Source organism: Homo sapiens, chromosome 2, assembly GCF_000001405.40.
Source record: "Homo sapiens chromosome 2, GRCh38.p14 Primary Assembly".
NCBI lineage: Eukaryota > Metazoa > Chordata > Mammalia > Primates > Hominidae > Homo > Homo sapiens.
The window spans coordinates 133,610,842-133,637,455 of record NC_000002.12 but is presented as its reverse complement, the minus strand read 5'-3'; the positions used below and the strand labels follow the sequence as shown (position 1 = coordinate 133,637,455).

General features: G+C 38.3%; 1 protein-coding gene across 7 annotated transcripts in view; it reads left to right on the top strand.

The window, feature by feature from the left end:
- NCKAP5 (NCK associated protein 5) overlaps positions 1–26,614 on the top strand; it is a 1,003,049-nt gene that overhangs the window by 37,381 nt on the left and 939,054 nt on the right. The gene's annotated exons all lie outside the window — the stretch shown is intronic.

Genomic DNA, 26,614 nt, shown 5'->3' with positions numbered 1-26,614 from the left:
TTCTGGAGAGTCTACTCTTGTGATTTTTATTTCTACAAACTCTTTTTCTTGGTGGCCTGTTTCCTTAGGCATAATTTAAGTTGAGAAAGTGTATTTGACTGCTGAGAGTTTGGTTGGTGTTTGTTCCTTTGCATTTGCTCCTGCCATGCACCCTGAGGTGCTACCAAATTAGGGCAACAATTAGTATTTTGGCTCTGGCTTTCCAAACCCTAATGTTTGTGTAAATGTGAGCCCCAGACTCACATAGAATAGATCTGTATTTTAAAATTATTGGTGGTAGGAGAAGTGCGGGAAAGTAGGTTTGATAGATTTAGAAAATAAAAATACAGAGTTAAATTTGATTTTCAGATAAACAACAAAAGTATACATATATTTATTAAGTATACTTTAAGTATTAAATATATTTATTAAGTATACTTTAAATATTTTTAAAAATCCCATAAAATATTTGTTGTGGATCTTCTCTGGCTATTCATGCTGGGGGATGGAGAAGCTTTGTTTTCCTAACCAGAGGTGAAGCTGATACAGGTAAATTTTCATACTGTCTTCCTTTGCAGATGAAATTTTTTTTCTAACCTACTATTTCATGGAGCATCTAGTCTTTCAAAGGCCTTGGGTTTTTATGGGCATCTAAGTTCCATTCTGCACCTTGTGGAGGCTTCGTGTCCTGTTCCCAGAGTGGTTCTAGGCCCTTGGAATGGGACAATTCCATTAGAAGTTACTGACCCAGCATTTGCTTTCCTCCCTGGTTTTCTGCTTCTTTATTAATTTGTTTGTTTTGTTGTTTGGCTCTTTTGGCTACTAGGATTTTCCCCTTCTTTGCTAGTGAGATAGGCATTTAAAAAGGATGTTTGTTGTGTTTTATCAGTTATAATGTTGGAAGCAGAAATGCTCCTATTCACTCTTTAACCAAGTTAACCAAGCCCTTGCCCTTATCGCTGGTCTGAAATTGCTCTCTGAACATTCTGTGGGGGATGCTTTATTGCTAAATCCAACCGCCTCTTCTTGAGAGTTGCCTGCTTGAAAGCTCTAATTTCTTGGTAGAATTTTCTCTTTCATCACCTTCTGTTCCTCCAGGTTTTTCTTACTGTTTTTGCATGACCAGTCATTGTCAGTGTTCTTTGCTGGCTGTCTTTCCTGTGGCTCTGTCTTTGATATAAACATGCCTCTTGAACAATGAGTATACTCCTAAGCTAGTGTCCTGACCTCTAAACTCTGTAGGCTAGCTTCTGCATTATTTTCTATGGTTATCTTTCTAAAAACCAACAGACCTCATGACTATTCTTGTCCTGGAAAATCTTTGATAGTTTTTTATCGCCACAGTACATAATCTTAGCATTAAAATCTCTCCATCATGTGGCTGTAAGCCACTCTTCCAACCTCCTCAGCTATCAAGCTCTGTGCTTTGTACCTTCTGCTTCAGTCACCACACTACTGTTCATAAGCTCAAAATTATTCATTAATATCAGTTATCTAATTATTAATTAAAATATTGTGTCCATAACTCTGCTTGCTGCCTGTATATTAAAATCATACTCTTCAAGGTTAGGCTCAGATTTGAACCTGGTAAAGGTTTGGCTCATTCCTTCCTCTAGCTGGCAGCTCACTTAGTACTTCATTCATGATTTTCAGAAAATGCAAGCATTTGGGGCTTTCTATAGTAGCTATTTTTGTATCTCTCTATCATAAGTTTTTACATCCAAACTATTTTTTTCATCTTATTACCTTAATTCTGAACACAAGACTGTATATTTGGTAGCCTTTGATAAACGTGTTTATTATTTAAATAAGTTGCTTGTCTTTAGAAGTTACGAGGACACATTAGTTAGGACTTATAGTTTCCTACCAGGTTTTATGAAAAAAATGAAGATCAACTTGGAAAACTTGCTAGAGCTGCATAGGCAGTATGAATCTTCATTTTCAATTTGGAAGAATATTTTCCTTAACTTTTATATTACCAAGGAGTTTTATTTCTATGTTAGGTCTTCTGGCAGACTGATGGCTGTAAGACTGTGGATTCCTAGAATCTCATGAAAGAGTCTTCCCAGAAGATACTCAGCAACTAGTTTATGCATTGTCATCATTTTCAAGTAGAATAAGAACAGATATTTGGAGGAAGTGAATGAATATATTTTAAAGGCCATGGAAGTTGCTGAGTAGGGAGCTTATTTGTTCTAATAGACTGCATGATTACATCAGCTTTCAAGTATTTATAACCTGTAGATTCCCCCTTCCTTTTCCTCTGTCTGCATGCAGTTGCCAGACTTAGAAAATAAAAATACAGCCAGGCATGGTGGCTCACACCTGTAATCCCAGAACTTGGGGAGGCCAAGGCAGGTGGATCACCTGAGGTCAGGATTTCGAGACCAGCCTAGCCAACATGGTGAAACCCCGTTTCTACTAAAAATACAAAAATTAGTTATGTGTGGTGGCAGGTGCCCATCTGTAGTCCCAGCTACTTGGGAGGCTGAGGCAGGAGAATAGGTTGAACCCAGGAGGCGCAGAGGTTGCAGTGAGCCAAGATCCCACCACTGTATTCCAACCTGGGTGACAGAGTGAGACTCTGTCTAAAAAAAAAAAAGAAAGAAAAGAAAGAAAATAAAAATACAAGACATCCAGCAAATTCAAATTTCAGATGAACAATGAATAATTTTTAAATGTATGTCCCAATATTACATGGGACATACACGCAGAATAAATCATTGTTTATCTAAAATTCAAATTTAATGGTTGTCCTGTATTGTACCAGGCAATCCTATGTCGGCTCCACTGTCAGCTTCTTGTTCCTTATCATGCATAATCATCTTCAAAGCAAACAAAATGTTTCTATATTTAGAAATGAGGATTCTGTAAAAGTGTTATTACTTGGAAAACTATCAAAGATACCCTAGCTTGCAAATTTTAAGTGTCAAGTGGAATGCAACATAGCAACAAGATAATTATTTCTAAGGTGGGGTGGTGAAAAAGTAGTCCTGTATTGAAAGACTGGTCTAAACTCTGGCAGTTTATTAGCGTAGAGTATGTTTCTGGTCATTTTTCCAATACAACTAACATATTGTGGCAGGCACATCTGGGAGACACGCATTCTGGAACTCAGTAAAAAATGCCTGGGAGAATGCTTGTGTTTGTGTATGTGTTGAGTTAAACAGCCCTTTGTTACGAGGGAGTGGGAAGGGGCCGTGAATATTGTGCTGAAACGCAAACTAATTGATGGACACTATAATCACCACCTTAGTTAGCGCCCCGGGACTCTTTTCATACTGGCAAGCTGTAAATTTAAATGGAAACCAAAAGGATAGTACACAGCCCACAGCTCAGCATTCCATTACTTCACGTATGAAATATTCAGTGAGTAAGAGAGAGGCTTAATAGATAATAGCTGGAGAGGAGCTGCACAGTGATTAAGGCAAGACTGAAGTGGCTGGTAACAATCTCAATCTAACCAAGTCCAGATAAGAGTTTCTATTTGAAGGATTAAACTCGATTCTTTGCTCAGAATGAGGCAACCCACTTCTGAGTGCCAAACTACACAATGATCTCTTATCTTAGACCCAGTGTAGTTGTTCAGAGATTACGTGATTTGGGGTAAGATGGATCTATCCATGAGCCCCATCAATCATGCTCTATTTATCTTTTAGATGCCTGCTATTTAGTATCATTGAAAGTACATGAGTTTTCTAATCCAGCTAACTTGGGTTCAAATCCCCCTCAGCCCTATGCCCCTTGAGCAATGACATAAAATTTCTGAGCTTCAGTTCATTCATCTATAAAATGAAGCCGATACTGTCCATCTCTAAGCGTTGGGATGTAGATGCACTGGGCTTATTAGATGCAAACTGTTTGGCATTTGTTAACCGCTTCATGAAGGCTACCTTCATACCTCCCTATCTGTGTGCTGTCTCATATTCACTTTTCAGCGTGAGCCAGCCTGACTTCAGGATGCTGCATGTCCTCACAAAGCCAAACATTTCCTGCTGGCATTCTTGACTCTTCCGAGACACTCTCTTTTCAAGGTACCCTGCAGTTGAGGGAGCACATCTGCCCTAGGCTAGAAATAGCAGACTTTCCTCTCTCATGCCCACCCCAGTTGGCCAGCACTGCTGCCTGAAGTAATGTGTTTAGAAAGGCCAAGCGGCCGTTCTGGGTTTGGTGAGAGAGCACCATAGTTGATTGACAAAGGCTGCCATTTGTTCGGGAAGCAGTTGTGGAGGTATCTGTGCTATGAGCTGGATACATTTCTGCTCAGTCAGGCTGCAAAGTAGGCAGAGTTTGTCTTCAGGAACATTACTTCCCCTGTCTGAACACATCCCCCCTCTTCTTGTGTCATCTTCCCCAAGTTCACTAGTTTGCACATTCTGGGTATGTAACAGAGAAAATAAAGGATGCACACATTTGTTTCTATGAGGATTTGGGGACTCAGTCATTTCCTTCTGAGGAGTGCCCCAAAGGAAAAGGCAGGTGCTCTGGGCCAGCCAAGCTACCGGTGTGTCCAGATGCAAGCTGGCATTATATAAACTTAAGGTGATTCTTTTTTCCATTATATGCAAGGGACCTAAATGGGTGAAATGATTTCTTTGTTTCTGGGAAAGGCAAAACAGCACCAATTGTCTTTCTCACTTTTGGCCTCTTCACAGTTGCAGGTCTTTAACTTAGACCTCTATTAAGATGTAAGTTTTCCTGATAGAACCTAAGAGTGGCAGCGTGGAAGAGAGTATTTGAAAAGAGATTAAAGAAATAAGAAACAGAAATGACATCTTGGTGAATACAGAATGTGCTTTCCTGGAGGAGATGGTCCATCTCTGACGCAGGAGGATGAGACAGCAGCACCAGGAGGGGTACTTCACACACCTGTGCACTATGCTGAGAGACGGCCAGCTTACAAGCCTTTACAGAGTAACACTTGTTCTGATGACCATTGTAGTAATTTTCCAAAAATGTGGAAAGTATAAAAAAGTAAATAAAGCCAGCTGACATTAAGAATTGACCCAAGTTACTTAAGATGTTGGTGCATTTTCTTCTAGTCTTTTTTTCCCCCTGCATTAATATTAACAGATTTGCACCTAAATTATTAATCCAGGCAGCCTTGGGGCTTTTTCTTTTCTAATTTGCCGAAGGCAAAAAAGTAAGCTCACCTGTTTTTTTCTTCTTTAACTTTCATTTTTAATGTCCAATTATGCTAACTTGAGTCCCCAAAAATGTAGTTGCCAGAATGCTCAGAACAGGCTCCTGCCTGCAGGGCATACCATGTGGCTGCATCTGCTGCCACCCATGTATCCTGTCCAGTTTGATGATTCCTCCCCTAGTCCTCCCCCTGGTGAACACTCCTGACATCACCACTGCAGCTTGGGGGACAGGACACTGCTCATCCTTCAGCCTTCCACTCCAATCCTTGGGACAGCCTTTTTAAAATTTCCCAATGCACAGCTGAGACCAGGCTGTGGTGTGTCTAGAATCATTTACTGAAATTTAGGCAAGGCCGAAGAGAAATGTAACACAGAAAGAAACTTACAGTTGCTTCTAGAAGTGTCCATTCTTAAAGTTCAACTTTAAGCCCAACCCTCAAAAGAAATGGACATTTCTCCACCCCAGTAAAGCCCAAGAGTTGCCCTCTTCAGTTTTCATTTACTATTTCAGTGTTAACTCCTTTTCCAGAAAGATTGACAGCAGGAACTTCCACTCCCTTCAGAGAATGGAAGACCCCAATGCAGGGGTCTGCAGGGGACTAGTCTACCTGGCCATGAGGATGGAAGACTTAGCTATACTAGTCTTAGAGAACATTTTCCAAAGTCTAAGTTATTGTATCAAACTCAACATAGACCTTAATCTACAGATCTCCTCCAATGTCACGTGAGAAGATTAGGCTTTTCTATCCAGGAGTTACACCTTTTGCAAAAAACTCACAGAATAACATCACATCTCTTTAAGGACAAGCAATGATTTGAAGGTACATGGCCATTTAAATCCAGGATAATAGAAGAAACATTCTCTAAAGAAAGCAATCTTTGGAGGTATAGTTTTAAAATGCAGCTGTTTTACATTTATTAAACAGAACATCCCAGTCAGAACCTTCCACATGTAGATTGCTTCAATGCATTTACGTATTTGCTCTTGCTTTACACTGCATAAGTTAAAGAGACCACCAGAGAAACTGGGGAAGGTCTTCCCAGAGAAGAAGTGAGACACTGTGTGCAAATTTTAAAACAGTGGTTTTTAAAATAAGTCTTCAGGTCAATCTCCATTTGTGATATAACCCATATACACATTTGTATAATTGAAAATCATACTTTACGTATGTTTCTATTATTTGCTTTTTAAATTTAATTTTCCATTGTGAACATTTTTAATAGCATCAAAATATTTTGAAAACATGATTTTTCATGATTTTATGATCTTCAAATCTATAGTTGTTAATCTAATTAACCATTCCTTCTTGTTGGGCATTTAGGTTGTTTATAGTTTATTAACATAAATGATACTAAAATGAACATCTTTCACATATACATTGTCCATTTTTATGATCATTTTCATAATTCAGCTTTTATTAAGAAATTTTCCCAAAACATAATGTCTTAAAATAACAATTGTGCTTTCCTGGAGGAGATGGGCCATCTCTTTTTCATGATTCTGTAGATTGGCAAAGAATCTGTTTTTCTGGTCTGTGCTGGTTCTGCTAAGGCCGGATGATCTGGGATGGCCTAACTCCCATGTCTAGGACAACAGGGAAAACTAAGATGCCTGGGACTCTCTCCACCTGTTCTCTCATCCTTAAGGAATCTAGCCCAGGCATATTCCTGGTGGCAGAAGGGTCACCAACAGCAGGAGAGGGAAAGACCCATTGCACAAGCCATTTTTTTTTTTAAGTTCTGAGGTACATATGCAGCATGTGCAAGTTTGTTATGTAGGTAAACATGTGCCATGGTGATTTGCTGCATCTGTCAACCTCTCACCTGAGTATTGAGCCCTGCACACGTTAGCTATTTTTCCTTATGCTCACATACTCACTATTCACCCAAAGTGCACCATCCAATGGCTTTCAGTGTGTTCACAGATACGTGTAACCATCACTACAGTCTATCTTAGAACATTTTATTCACTTCAAAGAAGAAATTCCATAGTTTTTACTTATTATCCTCTCTGTGTCCCCATGTTCCTGTATTCCATCACTAAGCAACCATGAATCTACTTTCTGTCTCTATAGATTTCCTTATTCGGGACTTTCATATGAATTTCCATTCATATAGTATGTGGTTTTTGATGACTGGCTCCTTTCACTTAGCAAAATATTTTCTTTTTGAAACAATGTTTTAAGTTTTACTTTAAGTTCTGGGGTCCATGTGCAGGATGTGCAGGTTTGTTGCATAGGTAAATGTGTGCCATGGTGGTTTGCTGCACCTATCAACCCATCACCTAGGTATTAACCCCCACATGCATTAGCTATTTTTCCTAATGCTGTCCCTCCTCACCTCCCACCCCCTCGACAGGCCCCAGTATGTGTTGTTCCCCTCTCTGTGTCCATGTATTCTCATCATTCAGCTCCCACTTATAATAAATGAGAACATTCAGTGTTTGGTTTTCTGTTCCTGCATTAGTTTGCTGAGGATGATGGCTTCCAGCTCCATCCATGTCCCTGCAAAGGACATGATCTCATTCCTTTTTATGGCTACATAATATTCCATGGTGTATATGTACCACATTTCCTTTATCCATTCTATCATTTATGGGCATTGGGTTGATTCCATGTCTTTGCTATTGTGAATAGTGCCACATTGAACATATGTGTTCATGAATCTTTGTGATACAATGATTTATATTCCCTTGGGTATATACCCAGTAATGGTATTGCTGGGTCAAATGGTATTTCTGGTTCTAGGCCTTTGAGGAATTGCCACACTGTCTTCCATGCTGGTTGAACTAATTTACATTCCCACCAAGAGTGTAAAAGCATTCCTATTTCTCCACAGCTTCACAGCATCTGTTGTTTCTTGACTTTTTAATAATCACCATTCTGACTGGCATGAGATGATATGTCACTGGGGTTTTGATTTGCATTTCTCTAATGATCCATGATACTGAGCTTTTTTTCATGTTTTTTGGCTGCATAAATGTCTTCTTTTGGGAAGTGTCTGTTCATGTCATTTGCACACTTTTTAATGGGCTGTTTTTTCCTGTAAATTTGTTTAAGTTCCTTGTAGATTCTGGATATTAGACCTTTGTCAGATGGATAGACTGCAAAAATTTTCTCCCATTGTGTAAGTTGCCTGTTCACTCTGATGATAGTTTCTTTTGTGGTTCAGGAGTTCTTTAGTTTAATTAAATCCCATTTGTCAATTTTTGCTTCTGTTGCAATTGCTTTTGATATTTTTATCGTGAAATCTTTGCCTGTGCCTATGTCCTGAATGGTATTGCCTAGATTTTCTTCTAGGGTTTCTATAGTTTTGGGTTTTACATTTAAGTTTTTAATCCATCTTGAGTTAATTTTTGTATAAGGTGTAAGGAAGGGGTCCAGTTTCAATCTTCCGAATATGGCTACCCAGTTCTCCCAGCACCATTTACTGACTAGGGAGTCCTTTCCCCATTGCTTGTTTTTGTCAGGTTTGTTGAAGATCTGATGGTTGTATATGTGTGGTCTTATTTCTGAGTTCTCTATTCTGTTCCATTGGTCTATGCGTCTGTTTTTGTACCAGCACAATGATGTTTTGGTTACTGTAGCCTTGTATAGTTTGAAGTCAGGTAGTTTGATGCCCCCAGCTTTGTTCTTTTTGCTTAGAATTGTTTTGGCTATACGGGCTCTTTTTTTGGTGCCCTGTGAATGTTAAAATAGTTTTTTCTAATTCTGTGAAGAATGTCAATGGTAGTTTAATGGAAATACCATTGAATTTATAATTTGGGCAGTATGGCCATTTTCACGATATTGATTCTTCCTTTCCATGAGCATGGAATGTTTTTCCAGTTGTTTCTGTCTGCTCTGATTTCCTTAAGCAGTGGTTTGTGGTTATCCTCGAAGAGGTCCTTCACTTCCCTTGTTAGCTATATTGCTGAATATTTTATTCTCTTTGTAGCAATTGTGAATGGGAGTTCATTCATGATTTGGCTTTCTGCTTGACTGCTGTTGGTGTACAGGAATACTTGAGATTTTTGCACATTGATTTTGTATCCTGACACTTTGCTGAAGTTGCTTATCAGCTTAAGAAGCTTTTGGGTTGAGACTATAGGGTTTTCTAGATATAAGATCATGTCATCTACAAACAGAGACAGTTTGACTTCCTCTTTTCCTATTTGAATACCCTTTGTTTCTTTCTCTTGCCTGATTGCCCTGGCCAGAACTTCCATTACTATGTTGAATAGGAGTGTTGAGAGAGGTCATTCTTGTCTTGTGCTGGTTTTCAAGAGGAATACTTACAGCTTTTGCCCAGTCAGTATGATATTGGTTGTGGGTTTGTCATAAATGGCTCTATTCTTTTGAATGCACAAGTACTTTTTAAGTCTCTGCTCATGTCACATTTCTCAAGTCTGGTTGGCCAAGGGAAGTACCACGGCCAAAGCCAGATTCAAAGGACAGGGGAAGCAGACTCCACCTTCTGATGGGAGGAGGGGCAAAGCAAAGTTACCTTGAGAAGGGGCCTGTAGACAGGGAGGAATGATCAGAGCTGCAGCCATTTTAGCATAAGTCTGCTACACTTTCCTTGAATTTCTGGAATGATTGCCTCTGAGCATATACAGTTTTTGGTTGCTTAAAAAAAAGTTTCTTTCTTTCTTTTTTCTTTTTTTTTGAGGCACAGAGTGCGTCTAAAGAGAGCGCACACTACAGATGCACGTCACCACACTTGGCTAATTTTTGTATTTTTGTGGAGACGGGGTTTCGCCGTGCTGTCCAGCTGGTCTCAAACTCCTGGCCTCAGGTGATCCACCTGCCTCGATCTCCCCAGGTGCTGGGATTACAGGCGTGAAGCACTGTGCCTGGCCTAAAAAATGTTTCTTAATGTATATTGCCAAACTTACCCTACACAAAATATTTACTGATTTGTATTTCTAACAGCATTCTGTTAGTGTCTATATAAAAACATCAACATAAGTTTTAAATATTATAAAATTGGAAATTTGTGAATTATCTGTTCTATTTTAATTTGTATTTCCTTAATTCTTATGGAGATTAATATTTTAAGTGTATTAGCTATTCATATTGTCTGCTTTGTTGAGAATGAATTTCATTTTTATACCCATTTTCCTTGAGGTTATTTTTTTTCTTATTGATTTGGGTGTGCCTTTTACAAAGAAATAACATTAACCATTAATCTATCATGGTACAATATTTTCCTAGCTTTTTGTTTTTAAAGATACATGTATTTCAAATTTTTATGGCCAATATGTTTTATGGCCAATGTGTGATTTATTTTATTGATTTTAAGATGGAAAATTAATTTCTACCAAGGAAATAATAATTATTTATCTATGTAGTCTTCATTTTTTGTATGAAATTCTTTTTAAACATTTAACTATTTTGTTCACCGGAAATTTATTTTGGTATGTGACATGGTATAAATTAATTTTTCCCCAAATAACTACTTTCCTTAACTTTATTGAATATATGTATTCAAACACTTTGTAAAATTTCAAACATATATAAAATTAGAGGAAATAGTATAGTGAATTCCTATGTATCTATTGCCCATTTTAAAAATTCAGTTAATACCCAGACTTATCTGTTTTCACTTGCTTTCTTACTACTTCCAGGTTATTTAAAAACAAAGCCCAGACATTATATCATTAGAGATAATTCAGTTTATGTCTCTGAAAGATAAAGACTCTTTTAAAAACATATCATTATCATACCCTAAAAATTAATAATTCTTTATAATATAAAATTTTTGCAATTGTGTCATAATATCTTTATACTTTGAATGAGAATTCAAATAAGTAAATAAATTGCAATTTGTTCATGTGAATTATTAGCTTAATTCTCCTTAAGCTAATAGGTTTCTCCCCTTTTTATTTCCCTTGCAACATATTTATTGAAAAAACCTGTTTGTCTATCCTATAAAGTTTTTTACAGTCTAGATCTTGCTTATTAAGTTTTTTGGTGTTATTTCATGTATTTCTCTGCCCCTGTATTCCCTGTAACTTGGTATTTAGATGTAGAAGCTTCATCAGACTCAGATTCAATTTTGGGACAAAAAATATTTTCTAGATGATATTACACATTTCCATCAGAAGGGACATATCATCAGGATGTCTTTCTTTGAGAGATGATAGTAGTAACGAGTGATTATTGCCTATATTTAATAATTCATATGGAACTAAGGGGCAGTATTCTAATTCTATCCTTTCCAACTCATTTATTTGTGAAAAATTCTATCAAAGAGGCTTTCTCTCATTCACTGGCTACCTGTGATGCAATTTATAAAATAATAGTTTGATTCTTTGCTTTTGTTTAATAGTTTTAAAAATGATGAAGTAGTCTATTAGTGTCCCCCAATGGCGACCAATTAAGTTTAAAAAAATTTTTAGTGTTATTATGAACTTGTGTATTTAAACACATTTGCATGTCTCAGACTGTTGCACTTATTATTCTTTTTTTTTTTTTTTTTGAGACAAGTCTCGCTCCATCACCCAGGCTGGAGTGCAGTGGCGCCATCTCGGCTCACTGCAAGCTCCGCCTCCCAGGTTCACGCCATTCTCCTTGCCTCAGCCTCCGGAGTAGCTGGGACTACAGGTGCCCGCCACTACGCCCGGCTAATTTTTTTGTATTTTTAGTAGAGACGGGGTTTCACCGTGTTAGCCAGGATGGTCTCCATCTCCTGACCTCGTGATCCGCCCGTCTCGGCCTCCCAAAGTGACTTATTATTCTTATTGCTGCTCAAGTTGTTCTCACCTTTGGCCAGTGGGAGCCTCTTCAAGCTGGATGTTGAGTCCTGGTGGGGTGGACTCAGAGGACTTTGAAGGCTTCCTTGCTTTCTGTATGACAAGATGGCCCAGGCCCCCCATGTACACCTCCTGCCTCGCACTGGGATCATTCATTTATCCAAGGAGTCCTGGTTCCTTTTGGTGCAAATTGTTACTTAGAAAGCTCAATTTGAGTTCTACAAGAGGTTAGTACGAGTGGGCTGGTCTTTGTTTCTTGGCTTTCTTCATTTTTCAGAGTAAAGGAATATGTATAGTGTCTTAAAGATAAAATATGTCTTGAATTTATGTAGATTATTCTGATTCACATTCAGGACTACAGAATTTTAACTTAACCATAATGGTATTACACCTATATTTCCTTTTCCAATGCTAAAAAGAATGACTTTTCAATGACAACAACATAATTTGTTTTATTTCACAATACACATGCAATAGTCTCAGAATAGCAACCATGTAATACCAACAATTGATTACTGAAAAGTTTCAAGAGTTGTTTACTTTAGTTGTGTTATCTTAGGTTGTATTCTGCTAAGGATGTTTAGTGAAAGTTAATTACTGAGTGGTTCCTCTCATTATGCTACCCGCCCAGATACAGGTTACTTTGTTTCATTTTGCTTTCAGTATTTAGGGATTCCTAATTTTGATCAGTCTGTAAAGCTTTTTCTTCTTAATCTGAAACTTTTCTCTTACAGCTGTATCTCATAGTTGGAACAACATTAAATCAAAAGAATATGATATATATGTGGATTCCAAAAACGTAACATGTGCTGACACATGCCATACCTCTGAATCTTGAGTCTGTAAAGCGGCTGTTAGGGCAGGAAATGGTTCTACTCAAACAGCATCATAATACTGAAGGGAGTGCAAATGAATACTGCAATAACTGTGAATGATTTTATATACACCATGAGACATTGTGTAGCAATTACGTTATAATTATTGCCAACTTGTTTGCTGCTATTTTGAGCCTTTTAATGCCTTAATTGTGCAGCCAAAATTCTAGTGTCTAAAAGTGTGCCCTGAACGAAGAACACCAAGGGAGGAAGGGGGATGGAGCATCACTGGTGTGCGGTGGTCTTACTCTAAGAGCCTGCAGCTCAGTGGCACATCTCCACTTGGGTGTATTTTTAGGAAGGACTGAGACACTCATGGGTAGAAACTCCTCCTAAGAGATGAGACGTGAGGAACAGAACTCGGTGGAGTGACCGTGGCTCAATGGATCTTGGAGAGGGCTGCAACAGAAGATTCTTTTTAAAAAATTTATTTTTAATTAAAAAAAAATGTTTTCAATAGGTTTTGGGGTGGTGGTTGGTTACATAAATTCTTTAGGGGTGATTTTTAAGATTTTGGTGCGCCCATCACCCGAGCAGTGTACCCTGTACCCAATGTGTAGTCTTTTATCCCTCACCATCCCCCACCCTTTTCCCCAAGTCCCCAAAATCCGATGTATCATTCTTATGCCTTTGCGTCCTCATAGCTTAGTTCCCACGCATGAGTGAGAACCTATGCTGTTTGGTTTTCCACTTCTGAGTTACTTTAATGGTCTCCAATTCCATGCAGGTTGCTGTGAATGCCATTATTCCATTCCTTTTTATGGCTGCGTAGTATTCCATTATATATATACCATATTTTCTTTATCCACTCGTTGATTGATGAACGTTTGGGCTGGTTCCATATTTTTCAAATTGCAGATTGTGCTGCAGTGAACATGTGTGTGCAAGTATCTTTTTTGTATAATGACTTCCTTTCCTCTGGGTAGATACCTAGTAGTGGGATTACTGGATCAAATGGTAGATCTACTTTTAGTTCTTGGGAATCTCCACACTGTTTTCCAGAGGTTGTACCTGTTTACATTACCACCAACAGTGTGTAAAAGTGTTCCCTTTTCACTGCATCCATGCCAACATCTTTTTTTTTTTTTTATTGTGGTCATTCTTGCAGGAGTGAGATGGTATTGCATTGTGGTTTTGATTTGCATTTCCCTAATAATTAGTGGTGTTGAACATTTTTCCATATGCTTGTTGGCCATTTTTATGTCTTCTTTTGAGAACTGCCTATTCATGTCCTTATCCCAGTTTTTGATGGGATTGTTTGATTTTTTCTTGCTTATTTGTTTGAGTTCTTTGTGGATTCTGGATATTAGTCCTTTGTCAGGTGTATAGATTGTGAAGATTTTCTCCCCCTCTGGGTTGTCTGTTAACCATGCTCATTATTTCTTTTGCTGTGCAGAAGCTTTTTAGTTTAATTAAATCCTATCTATTTATCTTTGTTTTTGTTGCATTTGCTTTTGGGTTATTGGTCATGAAGTCTTTGCCTAAGCCAATGTCTAGAAGAGTTTTTCCGATGTTATCTTCTGGAGTCTTTATGGTTTCAGGTCTTAGAGTTAAGTCTTTGATTCATCTTGAGTTGATTTTTGTATAAGGTGAGAGATGAGGATCCAGTTTCATTCTTCTACATTTGGCTTGCCAATTATCTCAGCACCATTTGTTGAATAGGCTGTCCTTTTCTCACCTCATGTTTTTGTTTACTTTGTCAAAGATCAGTTGGCTGTAAGCAATTGGCTTTATTTCTGGGTTCTCTAGTCTGTTGCATTGGTCTATGTGCCTATTTTTATACAGTATCATGCTGTTTTGGTGACTAGGGCCTTATAGTATAGTTGAAGTTGAGTAATGTGATGACTCCGTATTTGTCCTTTTTGCTTAGGCTTGCTTTGGCTATGTGGGCTCTTTTTTGATTCCATATGAATATTAGGATTTTTTCTAGTTCTGTGAAGACTGATGGTATTGTCATGAGAACTGCATTGAATTTATAGGTGGCTTTTGGCAGTATGATCATTTTTACAATACTGATTCTACCCATCCATGAGCATGGAGTGTGTTTTCTGTTTGTTTGTGTCATCTATGATTTCTTTCAACAGTGTTTTGTAGTTTTCCTTGTAGAGGTCTTTCACATCCTTGGTTAAGTATATTCCTTGTTTTTTTTGTTTTTCTTTTTGTTTTTGTTTTTGTGTTTGCAGCTATGGTGAAAGGGGTTGAGTTCTTGATTTGATTCTCAGTTTGGTCACTGATAGTATATAGCAGAGTTACTGAATCATGTGCATTAATTTTGTGTCCTGAAACTTTGCTGAATTCATTTACTAGTTCTGGAAGCTTTTTGGGTGAGGCTTTAGGGTTTTCTAGGTATACAATCATATCATCAGCAAACAGAGACAGTTTAACTTCCTCTTTACTGACTTGGATGCCCTTTATTTCTTTCTCTTGTCTGATTGCTCTGGCTAGGACTGCCAGTACTAAGTTGAATAAAAGTGGTGAAAGTGGGCATCCTTGTCTTGGTCTAGTTCTCAGGGGGAGTGCTTTCAAGTTTTCCCCATTCAGTATAATGTTGGCTGTGGGTCTATCATAGATGGCTTCTATTACCTTAAGGTATGTCCCTTCTGTGCCAATTTTGCTGAAGGTTTTAATCATAAAGGGATGCTGCATTTTGCCAAATGCTTTTTCTGTGTCTATTGAGATGATCATATGATTTTTGTTTTTAATTATGTTTATGTGGAGAATCACATTTACTGGCTTACATATATTAAACCACCCCTGCATCCCTGGTATGAAACTCAGTTTATCATGGTGGATTATCTTTTTGATATGCTGTTGGATTTGGTTAACTATTATTTTGTTGAGGATTTTTGCCTCTATGTTCATCAGGGATATTGGTTTGTAGTTTTCTTTTTTTGTTATGTCCTTGCGTGGTTTGGGTATTAGGGTGATACTGGCTTCATAGAATGATTTAGGGAGGATTCTCTCTTTCTCTATCTTTTGGAACAGTGTCAATAGGATTGTTACCAATTCTTGTTTGTATGTCTGATAGAATTCAGCTGTGAATCTGTCTGGTCCTGGACTTTTTTTGTTGGCAATTTTTAAATTACCATTTCATGCTCACTGCTTGTTATTGGTCTTGGTCTTGGTCTGTTCAGAGATTCTTTATCTTGCTGGTTTAATCTAAGAGGGTTGTATATTTCCAGGAATTTATCCATCTCCTCTAGGTTTTCCAGTTTATGGAAATAAAGGTGCTCATAGTAGCCTTGAATAATCTTTTGTATTCCTGTGGTATCAGTTGTGATAGCTCTCATTTCATTTCTAATTGAGCTTATTTGGATCTTCTTTCTCCTTTCTTGGTTAACCTCGCTAATGGTCTATCAATTTTATTTATCTTTTCAAAGAACCAGCTTTTTGTTTGATTTATCTTTTGTATTTTTTTTGTTTTGTTTCAATTTCATTCAGTTCTGCTCTGATCTTTGTTCTTTCTTTCTTGTGCTGGGTTTGGGTTTGGATTGTACTTGTTTCTGCAGTTCCATGAGGTATGACCTTGGATTGTATACCTGTGCTCTTTCAGGTTTTTTGGTGTAGGCATTTAGTCCTAGGAACTTTTCTTCTAGCACCGCTTTTGCTGTATCCGAGAAATTTTGATAGATTGTGTCACTATTATCGTTCAATTCAAAGAAATTTTTAACTTTCCTCTTGATTTCATTGTTGACCCAGTGTGCATTCAGGAGCAGGTTACTTAATTTCCATGTATTCGCATGGTTTTGAGGGTTCCTTTTGGAGTTGATTTCCAGTTTTATTCCACTGTGGTCTGAGAGAGTACTTGATACAATTTTGATTTTCTTAAATTTATTGAGACTTGTTTTGTGGCCTGTCATATGGTCTGTCTTGAAGAATGTTCCATGTACTGATGAATAGAATGTATATTCTGCAGTTGTTAGGTAGAATGTTCTGCAAATATCTGTTAAGTTCATTTGTTCTAAGGTATAGTTTAAGTCCATTGTTTCTTTGTTGACTTTCCATCTTGATGACCTGTCTCGTGCTGTCAGTGGAGTATTAAAGTCCCCCGCTATCATTGTATTGCTGTCTGTCTTATTTCTTAGGTCTAGTAGTAATTGTTTTATAAATTTGGGAACTCCAGTGTTAGGTGCATATATATTTAGAATTGTGATATTTTCCTGTGGACTAGTCCTTTGTCACTATATAATGACCTTGTTTGTCTTTTTTAACTGCTGTTGCTTTAATATTTGTTTGATCTGATATAAAAACAGCTACTCCTGCTTGCTTTTCTTGTCCATTTGCATGGACTATCTTTTTCCATCCCTTTACCTTAAGTGTATGTGAGTCCTTATTTGTTAGGTGAGTCTCCTGAAGACAGCAGAAACTTGGTTGACGTATTATTCTCCATTCTGTCAGAAACTTCGTTGGTGAATTATTCTCCATTCTCTCATTTTGTGTCTTTTAAGTGGAGCATTTAGGCCATTTACATCAATGTTAGTATTAGACATGAGATACTATTCTATTCATTGTGCTATATTTTGCCTGAATACCTTTTTTTTTCATTGTGTTATTGTTATATAGGTCCTGTGAGATTTATGTTTCAAGGAGGTTCTGTTTTGGTGTATTTCAAGAGTTTGTTTCAAGAGTTACATCTCCTTTTAGCAGGCTTGGTAGTAGCAAATTCCCTCAGCCTTTGTTTGTCTGGAAAAGACTGCATCTTTCCTTCATTTATGAAGCTTAGTTTCACTAAGCATAAATTTTCTGGCTGATAATTGTGTTTAAGGAGGCTAAAAGTAGGACCCCAATCCCTTGTAGCTTGTAGGGTTTCTGCTGAGAAATCTGCTGTTAATATGATAGGTTTTCCTTTTTAGGTTACTTGATGCTTTTGCCTCATAGCTCTTAAGATGTTTTCCTTCGTCTTGACTTTAGATAACCTGATGGCTATGTATCTAGGTGATGATCTTTTTACAATGAATTTACCAGGTGTTCTTTGATCTTCTTGTATTTGGATGTCTAGATCTCTAGCAAGGCCAGGGAAGTTTTCCTTGATTATTCCCTCAAAAATGTTTTTCAAATTTTTAGATTTCTCTTTTTCCTTGGGAATATCAATTATTCTTAGGTTTGGACATTTATTCTTAGGTTTAGACAAAGTCCCAAGCTTCTTGGAGGCTTTGTTCATATTTTTCCATTCTTTTTTCTTTGTCTTTGTTGGGTTGGGTTAATTCAAAAGCCTTGTCTTCAAGCTCTGAAGTTCTTTCTTCTGCTTGTTCGATCTATTGCTGAGACTTTCCAGTGCATTTTGCATTTATCTAAGTGTATCCTTGACTTTCAGAAGTTGTGATTGTTTTTTATTTATGCTTTCTGTTTCGCTGAAGTATTTTTCTTTCATATCCTATATCATATTTTTGATTTTTTATTTTATTTTATTTATTATTATTATACTTTAAGTTTAGGGTACATGTGCACAATGTGCAGGTTAGTTACATATGTATACATGTACCATGCTGGTGCGCTGCACCCACTAACTCGTCATCTAGCATTAGGTATATCTCCCAATGCTATCCCTCCCCCCTCCCCCCACCCCACAACAGTCCCCAGAGTGTGATGTTCCCCTTCCTGTGTTCATGTGTTCTCATTGTTCAATTCCCACCTATGAGTGAGAATATGCGGTGTTTGGTTTTTTGTTCTTGAGATAGTTTACTGAGAATGATGATTTCCAATTTCATCCATGTCCCTACAAAGGACATGAACTCATCATTGTTTATGGCTGCATAGTATTCCATGGTGTATATGTGCCACATTTTCTTAATTCAGTCTATCATTGTTGGACATTTGGGTTGGTTCCAAGTCTTTGCTATTGTGAATAATGCCGCAATAAACATACGTGTGCATGTGTCTTTATAGCAGCATGATTTATAGTCCTTTGGGTATATACCCAGTAATGGGATGGCTGGGTCAAATGGTATTTCCAGTTCTAGATCCCTGAGGAATCGCCACACTGACTTCCACAATGGTTGAACTAGTTTACAGTCCCACCAACAGTGTAAAAGTGTTCCTATTTTTCCACATCCTCTCTAGCACCTGTTGTTTGCTGACTTTTTAATGATCGCCATTCTAACTGGTATGAGATGGTATCTCATTGTGGTTTTGATTTGCATTTCTCTGATGGCCAGTGATGGTGAGCATTTTTTCATGTGTTTTTTGGCTGCATAAATGTCTTCTTTTGAGAAGTGTCTGTTCATGTCCTTCGCCCACTTTTTGATGGGGTTGTTTGTTTTTTTCTTGTAAATTTGTTTGAGTTCATTGTAGATTCTGGATATTAGCCCTTTGTCAGATGAGTGGGTTGTGAAAATTTTCTCCCATTTTGTAGGTTGCCTGTTCACTCTGATGGTAGTTTCTTTTGCTGTGCAGAAGCTCTTTAGTTTAATTAGATCCCATTTGTCAATTTTGTCTTTTGTTGCCATTGCTTTTGGTGTTTTAGACATGAAGTCCTTGCCCATGCCTATGTCCTGAATGGTAATGCCTAGGTTTTCTTCTAGGGTTTTCATGGTTTTAGGTCTAACGTTTAAGGCTTTAATCCATCTTGAATTGATTTTTGTATAAGGTGTAAGGAAGGGATCCAGTTTCAGCTTTCTACATATGGCTAGCCAGTTTTCCCAGCACCATTTATTAAATAGGGAATCCTTTCCCCATTGCTTGTTTTTCTCAGGTTTGTCAAAGATCAGATAGTTGTAGATATGGGGCATTATTTCTGAGGCCTCTGTTCTGTTCCATTGATCTATATCTCTGTTTTGGTACCAGTACCATGCTGTGTTGGTTACTGTAGCCTTGTAGTATAGTTTGAAGTCAGGTAGTGTGATGCCTCCAGCTTTGTTCTTTTGGCTTAGGATTGACTTGGCGATGCGGGCTCTTTTTTGGTTCCATATGAATTTTAAAGTAGTTTTTTCCAATTCTGTGAAGAAAGTCATTGGTAGCTTGATGGGGATGGCATTGAATCTATAAATTACCTTGGGCAGTATGGCCATTTTCATGATATTGATTCTTCCTACCCATGAGCATGGGATGTTCTTCCATTTGTTTGTATCCTCTTTTATTTCCTTGAGCAGTGGTTTGTAGTTCTCCTTGAAGAGGTCCTTCACATCCCTTGTAAGTTGGATTCCTAGGTATTTTATTCTCTTTGAAGCAATTGTGAATGGGAGTTCACTCATGATTTGGCTCTCTGTTTGTCTGTTGTTGGTGTATAAGAATGCTTGTGATTTTTGTACATTGATTTTGTATCCTGAGACTTTGCTGAAGTTGCTTATCAGCTTAAGGAGATTTTGGGCTGAGACAATGGGGTTTTCTAGATATACAATCATGTCGTCTGCAAACAGGGACAGTTTGACTTCCTCTTTTCCTAATTGAATGCCTTTTATTTCCTTCTCCTGCCTAATTGCCCTGGCCAGAACTTTCAACACTATGTTGAATAGGAGTGGAGAGAGAGGGCATCCCTGTCTTGTGCCAGTTTTCAAAGGGAATGCTTCCAGTTTTTGCCCATTCAGTATGATATTGGCTGTGGATTTGTCCTAGATAGCTCTTATTATTTTGAGATATGTCCCATCAATACCTAATTTATTGAGAGTTTTTAGCATGAAGGGCTGTTGAATTTTGTCAAAGGCTTTTTCTGCATCTATTGAGATAATCCTGTGGTTTTTGTCTTTGGTTCTGTTTATATGCTGGATTACATTTATTGATTTCCGTATATTGAACCAGACTTGCATCCCAGGGATGAAGCCCACTTGATCATGGTGGATAACCTTCTTGATGTGCTGCTGAATTCGGTTTGCCAGTATTTTCTTGAGGATTTTCACATCAAGGTTCATCAAGGATATTGGTCTAAAGTTCTCTTTTTTGGTTGTGTCTCTGCCCAGCTTTGGTATCAGGATGATGCTGGCCTCATAAAATGAGTTAGGGAGGATTCCCTCTTTTTCTATTGATTGGAATAGTTTCAGAAGGAATGGTACCAGTTCCTCCTTGTACCTCTGGTAGAATTCAGCTGTGAATCCATCTGGTCCTGGACTCTTTTTGGTTGGTAAGCTATTGATTATTGCCACAATTTCAGCTCCTGTTATTGGTCTATTCAGAGATTCAACTTCTTCCTGGTTTAGTCTTGGGAGAGTGTGTGTGTCGAGGAATTTATCCATTTCTTGTAGATTTTCTAGTTTATTTGGGTAGAGGTGTTGGTAGTATTCTCTGATGGTAGTTTGTATTTCTGTGGGATCGGTGGTGATATCCCCTTTATCATTTTTTATTGCATCTATTTGATTCTTCTCTCTTTTTTTCTTTATTAGTCTTGCTAGCAGTCTATCAACTTTGTTGATGCTTTCAAAAAACCAGCTCCTGGATTCATTAATTTTTTGAAGGGTTTTTTGTGTCTCTATTTCCTTCAGTTCTGCTCTGATTTTAGTTATTTCTTGCCTTCTGCTAGCTTTTGAATGTGTTTGCTCTTGCTTTTCTAGTTCTTTTAATTGTGATGTTAGGGTGTCAATTTTGGATCTTTCCTGCTTTCTCTTGTGGGCATTTAGTGCTATAAATTTCCCTCTACACACTGCTTTGAATGCGTCCCAGGGATTCTGGTATGTAGTGTCTTTGTTCTCGTTGGTTTCAAAGAACATCTTTATTTCTGCCTTCATTTCGTTATGTACCCAGTAGTCATTCAGGAGCAGGTTGTTCAGTTTCCATGTAGTTGAGCGGTTTTGAGTGAGATTCTTAATCCTGAGTTCTAGTTTGATTGCACTGTGGTCTGAGAGATAGTTTGTTATAATTTCTGTTCTTTTACATTTGCTGAGGAGAGCTTTACTTCCAACTATGTGGTCAATTTTGGAATAGGTGTGGTGTGGTGCTGAAAAAAATGTACATTCTGTTGATTTGGGGTGGAGAGTTCTGTAGTTGTCTATTAGTTCCACTTGGTGCAGAGCTGAGTTCAATTCCTGGGTATCCTTGTTGACTTTCTGTCTCGATGATCTGTCTAATGTTGACAGTGGGGTGTTAAAGTCTCCCATTATTAATGTGTGGGGGTCTAAGTCTCTTTGTAGGTCACTCAGGAATTGCTTTATGAATCTGGGTGCTCCTGTATTGGGTGCATCTATATTTAGGATAGTTAGCTCTTCTTGTTGAATTGCTCTGTTTACCATTATGTAATGGCCTTCTTTGTCTCTTTTGATCTTTGTTGGTTTAAAGTCTGTTTTATCAGAGAGTAGGACTGCAACCCCTGCTTTTTTTTTGTTTTCCATTTGCTTGGTAGATCTTTCTCCATCCTTTTATTTTGAGCCTATGTGTGTCTCTGCACATGAGATGAGTTTCCTGAATACAGCACACTGATGGGTCTTGACTCTTTATCCAATTTGCCCGTCTGTGTCTTTTAATTGGAGCATTTAGTCCATTTACATTTAAAGTTAATATTGTTATGTGTGAATTTGATCCTGTCATTATGATGTTAGCTGGTTATTTTGCTCATTAGTTGATGCAGTTTCTTCCTAACCTCGATGGTCTTTACATTTTGGCATGATTTTGCAGTGGCTGGTACCGGTTTTTCCTTTCCATGTTTAGAGCTTCCTTCAGGAGCTCTTTTAGGGCAGGCCTGGTGGTGACAAAATCTCTCAGCATTTGCTTGTCTGTAAAGTATTTTATTTCTCCTTCACTTATGAAGCTTAGTTTGGCTGGATATGAAATTCTGGGTTGAAAATTCTTGTCTTTAAGAATGTTGAATATTGGCCCCCACTCTCTTCTGGCTTGTGGAGTTTCTGCTGAGAGATCCGCTGTTAGTCTGATGGGCTTCCCTTTGAGGGTAGCCCGACCTTTCTCTCTGGCTGCCCTTAACATTTTATCCTTCATTTCAACTTTGGTGAATCTGACAATTATGTGTCTTGGAGTTGCTCTTCTCGAGGAGTATCTTTGTGGCATTCTCTGTATTTCCTGAATCTGAATGTTGGCCTGCCTTGCTAGATTGGGGAAGTTCTCCTGGATAATATCCTGCAGAGTGTTTTCCAACTTGGTTCCGTTCTCCCCGTCACTTTCAGGTATACCAATCAGACGTAGATTTGGTCTTTTCACATAGTCCCATATTTCTTGGAGGCTTTGTTCGTTTCTTTTTATTCTTTTTTCTCTAAACTTCCCTTCTCGCTTCATTTCATTCATTTCATCTTCCATCGCTGATACCCTTTCTTCCAGTTGATTGCATCGGCTCCTGAGGCTTCTGCATTCTTCACGTAGTTCTCGAGCCTTGGTTTTCAGCTCCATCAGCTCCTTTAAGCACTTCTCTGTATTGGTTATTCTAGTTATACATTCTTCTAAATTTTTTTCAAAGTTTTCAACTTCTTTGCCTTTGGTTTGAATTTCATCCCGTAGCTCGGAGTAATTTGATCTTCTGAAGCCTTCTTCTCTCAGCTTGTCAAAGTCATTCTCCGTCCAGCTAGTCTCACTCCCACAGTGCCCCACCAACAGAACTGAATCTATTTCCTGGCAGCCGGTGACCAGGGCTGAGAACTTGCCCCAGACCACGAGACTCCCTGTTGAGAAAGCAAGCGGGCTCACAGTTTTTTGGTATCTCAGGGAGCCTGTAATGGTGACCCAGTTTCTTCAAAGGCTCTGCGGATTCTCTAGGTTTTCCTGATATGTTCCTGTGTAGTCTTGGAGACAAAGTTCACAGTGTGAGTCTCCACACATTGCTCTGTCCATCCGAGCAGGGGCTGCAAGCTAGTCCTGCCTGCTATCTGCCATCTTAGTCCCCTGCAAATGCCCCAGAAGATTCTTTGAATGCTCTCTCCAACGACTCATATAGGACCTGTGAGAAAGAAGGCAACACAAGGAAAAGGAGTACTGTTTTCTAATTTCTGTTAACACTCTAAGAAGACTAGCAACTCTTGCATTACAGCTCACGTATAATCACACGCTGTCCAACATTGGGAAGAGCGCCATTCCCATTTTGGTGAAGGGACTACGGGACCACCCCTAGAAGAGGGAAGAGAATAAAGAGGGTGGCCTCAGCCTAGAACCAGTCCGCATGTGGGCAGAGGAGGCTGTGCAGGACATTTCTCAGTGAAATTCAAGAAATGGCACAGATGCCTCTGGAGCGGCAGGAGAGCTATGGTTGATGTCAAATCCCAGCCAAAGGACTTGCTGGGAGTCTCCAACTCTGTTTCATATCTTAGACTATTCTATTTTCAAGCTAATGTGAAACACTGCTTATATTTTTTTGAATAATTGAATGGAGGTGAAAACACTGGTGAGAGGCAGAGCTAGAAAAATACTACTTAGCTACTGTTATTGCAACCCTAATTTTAGTTTTGGCCTAAAAGTAAACTTGGAGTTTATCCTGATGGAGGATAAACAGTCTTCATAATGAAAATCTTTCTTAATAATTATAACAGTGGACATTGGTATAATTGTTTTCTGTTATAAAGTACCATTGCATCCATTGAACATTAGAGGAGTGGAATGGGCCCCTTTGTCATATTGTGAGCTTTCAGCCAAGAAAATAATTCTATCAATGGCCATAGGAGTGTTTCTGGGGGAATGTCTCCATTAGATGTAGATTTTGACTTTACCATTCAATAACTTTTTTGGGTATGATTCTTGGAGAGGTAAGGAGGAAATACATTAAGGGTTGGAATGGCAGCAGATCTGAGAAATGTCTGGGTATCTCAGCTTTACTTCAGCTCTTTGGGAATGCTCCTCTTAGCCCTCAGAAACTGTTTCTCCTCACTCTTTGCTTTATTAGTGCTGTAAGTTTCCTTCCTGGAAGTCTATTCTTTAGCATCCATTTCTCCTCAATGCCTGCTACTTACCAATGGTGTGTGGTAGATGTTCAGTGCAAGCTCCTGGTTAATTCAGCAAACCGCGCTTAAGAGCAATGTTATAAAGGCTTCACATCCAGTCAACCTGTCTTAAAGGTCAGGTTGACAAAGCAAAAGTAGTTCTTAGTATTCATTTGATCCATTTCTTCCTCAGTGCCACACTATATAATGTAGCAAGTGTAGAAACATAAATCTTTACATCTATTTTTTAAGCATTGTTTCCACATACCAATATAAACAAGGAGACAACAAGGAGAAATGGAGGCCCCCAGAAAGAACATTTACATTGATCATATAAAAGAACTTAACACCATAAAATCTAAAATGCCAACTTACAAGTCACAATGTCTGCATTGTTCTTCATTTGCAGTTTTAAAAGTACTTCAATATATATTATTTGGGAGACCAAACGGATTGATTGATTATATATTGAAGTACCATGCTTTAAAGTGCTCTAGTAAAACACAATGCTTGTGTATTTGAGATTGAAAATCCATACTGGGATAAAGAAAGATGTTTCTTTTCAATCCAGATGCTCTCAACTGGTTCAAGTTTTTCTTTTCTCTTTGGGAATAAATCAATTGTGTCATTTGTTGTGAAACTAAATCCAGATATTTTTCTCAATGCCTATGTCTTTTTGTTTCTTTTATACAATAACATCTTATTTCCATTATGAAGCTGGGAGCATCTCTCTGGAAGTCTTTTTGGTGTTTTCTGGTTTCAAATTTCTACCTTATCTTTCCTATGCATTCCAAGGTCATCATTGGAGCTATTAAAGTTTTCAAGAATATGGGAAGTCTATTGTATCCTATCAATGGCAGCCAGGTTGAATGGTGAACTATTCATGAAAAGCAACTATACTCTTTCACTTGTGGGCAAAGTTAACAGTATACCTACCTGACCATAGAATTATGTTGAAATGCCTCTTCTGATGTCTAAGAAATTTGGTTGAAATGTCGAAGCTGAAATCTATGGGTCCAAAGTACATCCATATTTTACAGGGTACTGCTAGACACTTCTGTATAGGCTGTGCTCAGAATGAAAGAATCATCTCAAAACCCATCATCATGTCCCATCTATAAAAGAGAAGATTCGTCACTTGAAAACAATGATTATTTGAAGGGGGTTTAATAGGGGAGAGAATGTTTTGGCTTCTCTATTTTGGAGAGAAGTGAGGGACTTCCAATGGCCTGTGGGAGCCTGCAGGGAGAGGCTATTAGTTGCCACACCCCACCCAGCCTTTTTATCTTTGGTAGAATAGTTTAGAGCAAATCTCAGACATCATGTCATTTCATGAGGGCTAAGAAGCCTTACTGTCTTAATGAAGATTAAAAAATAGACCAAAAACCCCACTGGACACCTTTTAGAGAGGAGTATGCTTTGTCTCTTACTGATAGCCAAGCAAATAAGTGAAAACACAGAATCTTGGGAAATTGAGAGGCTCATGAACCTGTCATCCTGGTAGATATTACAAAGGAAAGCAATCAAATGCAAAGTGAATTCTTCCCAAATGACCACCTTCCTGCTCTTGGCTGTACTCTGGGTATCACCGTGGAGGACTATGGCTGCTGTAACCTTGAAGAAGGGAGAAGGAGACCAGAAATGCTTTTTGCAGATGGAGGAGGTGGTGGCGGGTGGCGGGTGGAGGTTGAGGGTGGGGGTGGTCTCTGAGAGATGCAACATCCCTTTTCTTGCAAGAGATCTGATGGATGCATCATATGTCAACACAGAAAAGAGAAACACTTCACCTCCTGTTCTTGAGTGAAATGCCTTTTTTTTTCGGGCATTAACATGGGGGGCTAGCATTTCACATTTAAATCCAAGGTCACTTCTCTGGGTAGGAGGTCACTCTCATGTTTCTAAGAACTGAAAAGAAAAAGTACAAAAGCCCCCAAAACCCCTGAAAACAAAGACTCTAGTCTTCCCTTGTCATTGAAGCACCTTCCTAATCACATGATCTCCTCTGGCCAGTATAAGTTGTGTTTTTATAAAAATCTTTGTCAGTGGGCAAGAATATCTAGTAAAAGGGAGAGACTTTTAAAGAATATATATTTTTTTCTTTGA